The 5,735-nt window shown below is 38.3% G+C and overlaps 1 annotated feature.

Annotated features, from left to right (window-relative positions):
• Positions 4,737-5,456: an enhancer, noted in NCBI's record as "OCT4-NANOG hESC enhancer chr11:38173897-38174616 (GRCh37/hg19 assembly coordinates)". NCBI's record gives its function as "activates a minimal SCP1, AML or CMV promoter by ChIP-STARR-seq in primed H9 embryonic stem cells {active_cell/tissue: H9 hESC(primed)}" and the evidence as "EXISTENCE:reporter gene assay evidence [ECO:0000049][PMID:30033119]".

The raw sequence follows: 5,735 nt of genomic DNA on the forward strand, positions 1-5,735 counted from the left end.
ACTCTTTCTTAAAATGTGCATTTCATCTTTCAGCTCTTGGATCATTTTACTGAATTCCTTGGATATCTTGGACTGGGTTTCAACATTTTTTGGAATCAATGAGCTTTCTTGCCATCCAGATTCTGACTTCTATATCTGTCATTTCAGTTTGGTTAAGAACCATTGCTAGAGAGTTAGTGGGCTTGTTTGGAGGTAATGGGTTGCAATGGCTTTTTGCATTGCCAGAGATCTTTCACAAATTCTTTCTCATCAGAGAGGATTAGCGTTCCTTTAACTGTGTTGTAACTTGACTATCATAATTTGGCTTCATTTTTTGGTTGCTTTTTGAGGGCCAAGGCTCTGTACAGAATCTTTATTTGTGGCAGGACGGCAGGATTCTTCCCAATGGTTTCATCAGGTTTTTTTTGACAGAGTTTCACTCTTGTTGCCCAGGCTGCAGTGCAATGGCATGATCTTGGCTCACTGCAACCTCTGCCTCCCAGGTTCAAGCGATTCTCCTGCCTCAGCCTCCCAAGTAACTGGGATTACAGGCACCTGCCACCATGCCTGGGTAATTTTTTGTATTTTTTTTCATAGTCATGGGGTTTCATCATGTTGGCCAGGGTGGTCTCAAACTTCTGACCTCAGGTGATCCACCCACCTCGGCCTCCCAAAATGTTGAGATTACAGGCATGAGCCACGGCACCCAGCCTCATTGGTATTTAATTGGCAGAATGTTTTTGGTGTTGCAATTATCCACGGCAATCCAGTGGACAGTGCTTAAGAGTAATCGCTGACACATAGGTTTGTACTCGACCATGCTGTACTCAATCATTTTGTACTTCCACACATTCACAGCTGTAATCTGCGGGTGTGAGTTAAGAGATTGTCTTCCACTAGTTTGCTCCTGGGCCTTGGGAGAGCTTCTCTGATCACTGGCGCTATGACTGTATTTCTTTTTCATGTGTTCCTGGCTGCAGGGCCCCTTTGAGCACAGGACTTGGTTGGGAGATAGGTCACACTCTTCCCGGGCCAGCCCTGTGAAGGGAGGTATGCCACACTCCAACACCAGCCCACAAATTTATGCATCTCACCATTCTCAGTATTCTAAGAATGGAGGTTTCTCTTCAACTTGAGTGCCAGCTGAAGAACTCTGCTCAGTACTCCCAAGACACACATTGCAGCCCTGGGGTGCCAGGTCCAGCCGGCAGCTCTGTCCTCTGGAACCTCAGGACTAGTCACTGGCTGTGCTAGAGGATCTGAAGTACTTCCAGGCCACTGAGAAAATATTCAGCTGGAGGTGATGGCAAAGTACCCAGGCTGGACAACAGAGGCTGCACTATGTGCTTGCTCCTATGGGGCAGCTAGGCAAGAGCCCTGGGAAGGGTTGGAGGGAAGGAAGGCCTATAGAACAGACATATCCTAGTCCCAGGAGAAGCCAAACCTGCCCTCACTTGGCCCAGTGGCCAGCTGAGGCTAGAGATACTCAGAGAGAGATAGACAGCCTTGGAAGATGTGCACTTATGGCTACATTCCACCGCAGCTGCCCTCTGTGCAAAGACCCTGGGTTTCATGCATGCTGGAACCTTATCTATGTCTACTCTCTGGACAGATCCCTCTGCCACTCCAAAGATCTGAGGGAGTGTGGAATCTCTTGTTACTTGGATCCCAAAGGTCTGCAGTGAGAGTAGGCTGTCCCTTTGTCCCCTCATTCACTCTTTCCCTAGGAACCATTCCAGGCCTAGAACTAGCTCTAGTATTTGGCAATCCCATGCAGGTTTCCCAGCTTCTTCCCACTTCAGCTTCATTGTCTATGTCACCTATCAATTCTTGGTATTTTCTCACCAGCGAGCTGCTCAAAGTATGTTGGTCTCTCTTGGTGAGGGTGGCACTTCCTGGCTGTGTCTAGTCAGTCTTTTTGTCCCCTTCAGAACTTGGTTTTTAATACTGTCCTCTAAAAAAATCATGAAGGATTCTTACAGAAATGACAGATTCTAGGGCTAGAGCAGAAAATCTACAGGTAAGCTTGGCGCTTGTTGTAGTGTGAGAAAATAAGGTCTTAAAAAAATAAAAAAGCAATACCTTCACATCGATTAGGGTACATTAAATGCACACCAGAGCCAACAGAAAGGGCTCCTGATGGCCACTGTCAGCAAGACAATACATTAAATTCTGTGGTATTTTAACCCAAAATATAAAATAAATGTCAATGAGTTTTGTACTAACATCATTAATTAAATGAATAAATATATAGGGAAGAACACACAAATCTCCTGTTCAGAATTCCAAATAATTTATGCACATATCCTTACTCCAAGGATATGGGATATACCTGTTCACTCCTTAAGTGCGGGCTATGCCTTGTGCCTTCCTTTCTAAGAGTACAGTATGGAAATGAGGGAAAAGGAGAAATATCTTTTCAGTAGAGAATCCTCTCCAGGCAAGGGATTTCAATTAATAGCAACAGAGATAAGTCATATTAACAGTACGTATCATTGAATTAATGTCAGGAGAATAGCACTTTATCTCTGTGGTCTAACTTCCAGGAACACATTAGCCCAATCAAATCATGAGGAAAATATCAGTCAACTCCCAATTGATGGACATTTTACAAAATACCTAATTTCTCAAAACTGTTCAAACAAGGAAATTGTAGAAAACTATCTCAATAAAGAGGAACCTAAGGAGATATGACTACTAAATGTAATGTGGCATTCTTTATGGAATGCTGAATTAGAATATATATGCACATATGTGCACATATATAATAATTCCAATTTTAATGTGTATTATATATACATACATACATATATGTACATATGTATATATACACGTACATACATACATATATGTACATATGTATATATACACGTACATACATACATAAATGAGGAAAACTGAAAATCTAAATAAAGTGTAGAGTTTAGTTAATAATGCCCCAATATTGGCTCACTAGTTGTGACAAACATGCCATATTAATATGTCATTAATAATAGTGAATACTGGATGTACCAGAATGGTTAAAATTAGAAAGAATTACAAAGCCAACAGTTGGTGAGGCTACACATCAAAAACCAACCAAACAAAAAATAAAAATAAAACTCTCATTCATTGCTGCATGTACAGTAAAGGGTTACATTCACTTATATTAAGGGCGAAAACAAAGCAATTTTTACAGGACTAGGAGGCAGTACTGTGTTTTCTTTAGCAAGAAGAGAGGATTGAGTTATTAGAAGGTCATATGGTATGGATCTGTGTCTGCACCCAAGTTTCATGCCAAATTGTAATCCCCAATGTGGGAGGAGAAGCCTCGTGGGAGGTGATCGGATAATGAGGTCAGAGTTCTCATAAATGGTTTAGCGTCATCCCTACTGGGTAATGTTACTGGGTAATGTATAGTGAGTGAGTTCTCATGAGGCATGGTTGTTTAAAAACGTGTAGCATCTCTCCCCTCCCCTCCTCCTGCTCCTACCACGTAAGACGTTGCCTTCTGCTTTGCCTTCCGCCCTGAGTAAAAGCTCCCTGAGGTCTCCACAGAAGCAGATGCTGACATGTTTTTGTATATCCTGCAGAACTATGAATCAATTAAACCTTTTCTTTATAAATTACCCAGTCTCAGGTATTTCTTTATAGCAATGCGAGAATGAACAAATAGGAGGACATACAAGGCCTACTTCTAGAGTGCTAGTAATTATGTTCTATTTCTTGACTTGGGTGGTAGTTGTATGGCTGTATTCATTTTTTAGTGATGTATGGAGATGTATAATTGTTATATTTTCTTGAATGCACAATGTACCACCACAGAAAAGTATACTAAGATATTTTCTTATCATCACTATATCCTTATTTACAAATATGTAGAATGACATTTTTTAACTTTGTATTTGGAAATAATTTTAGATTTGACAGAATCTTATAGATGATTACAAAATTATATAGACAATCCTTATATATAATTCTCTGAGCATTTGTAATGTGTGTGTGTTCAAGTGTGTGTATATATAACCATAATGCAGTTATTAAAACACACATTAATAAAATCAGTATTTTCACAATAGTATCAATTAAATTATAGCTTCTATTCACATTATACTAGGCTTTTCTACTTAGGCACTTTATGTTTTCAGAATTTATTTCCGGTTCCTACCTTGCATTTAATTGTCATTTCCTTTGTTTTCTATAATCTATGATGGATTCTCAATTTGTTCACTACTGTCACAGTTTTAAATATTGCTCGTCAAGTATTTTGTAGAATGTGGGTTTTTCTGATTTCTTCACGGTTATGTTGAATATCATAGAAGTAATACGCCCTTCTTAGTGCATCATATCCTGGAGTACCTAATCTCTACATATCTTACTATTGCTGAGGCACATGGTAATCAATTAATTAAAGTGGTGATTGTTGGCTTTCTTTATGGCACGGTTGTCATTTTTATTTGTCTAATTAATATGTATCTTGAAGGAGATACTATGAGAGTATGCAAGTACTATGTTTCTCTGGGAACTTTCACCCACTGATTTGAGCTTCTATTAATCAATCAATCTTGCCTGCAACAATTATTACCATAGTGTTTGTCTAATGGTGTTTTGAATTTCCCTTATTATGATAGGGCAAAGAATATATATTGGGGGAGGGACATGTTTTTCAATAAATTATCCTGGAAAAAATGAATATCAATTGGCTGAGGAATGAAATTGGATCCCTCTCACCATATACAAAAATCACCTCAGGATGAACTAAAGACTTAAATATCAGATCTCAAACTATAAAACTAGTAGAAGAAAACATACAAAAACACTTTAGAACATTGGTCTACACAAAGATTTTATGACTAAGACCTCAAAAGCACAGAAAATAAAAACAAAAAAGGACAAATAAGACTTAGTCAAATTTAAAATCGTCTGCATAACAAAGGAAGCAATCAACAGATTGGATAGACAACCTTAAATGGAGAAAATATTTTCAAACTATTACTCCAATAAAGGAGTAATATTCAAAATATACAAGGAGCTCAATAACTCAACAGTAAAAAACAAAGAAAAACTCATTAAAAAGTGGGCAAAGCACATGAGTACACATTTCTCAAATGAAGACATACAAATGGCCAATACATAGGTAAGAAAAAATCCTCAACATCACTAGTCACCAGGGAAATGTAAATCAACATCACTAGTCACCAAGGAAATGTAAATCAAAACCACAGTGACATCTCATCTTCCCTTAGTTAGAATGGATACTATTAAAAAGACAAAAACAAAAACAGATGTTAGCAAGGATACAGAGAAGAGAGAATGTAAATTAATGCAGACACTATGGAAAACAATAGCAAAGATGTGGAAGAAACCTGAGTGCCCATCAACAGGTGAATGAATAAAGAAAATAAGTACACACACACACACACACACACACACACACACACACACAATAGGATACTATTCAGCTATTAAAAAAATAATGTCATTTGCAGCAACATGAATGAAATTAAAGTTATTATGTTAAGACACAGAAAGATAAATTTCCCATATTCTCACGACTCATTATATGGGAGCTTAAAAAGTTGATATCATGGAGGTAGAGAGTAGAATGATAAATACCAGAGTCTGAGTAATTTACATGGGTGGGAGGAAGGGAAGGATGAAGAGAAGCTGGTTAATTAGTACAAACATGCAGTTAGATAGGAAGTATGAGTTCTACTGTTTCATAGCAGCATGCAGTGGCAATACTTAATAATCATGTATTGCGTATTTCAGAATAG

Source organism: Homo sapiens, chromosome 11 (assembly GCF_000001405.40).
Source record: "Homo sapiens chromosome 11, GRCh38.p14 Primary Assembly".
Taxonomy (NCBI): Eukaryota; Metazoa; Chordata; class Mammalia; order Primates; family Hominidae; genus Homo; species Homo sapiens.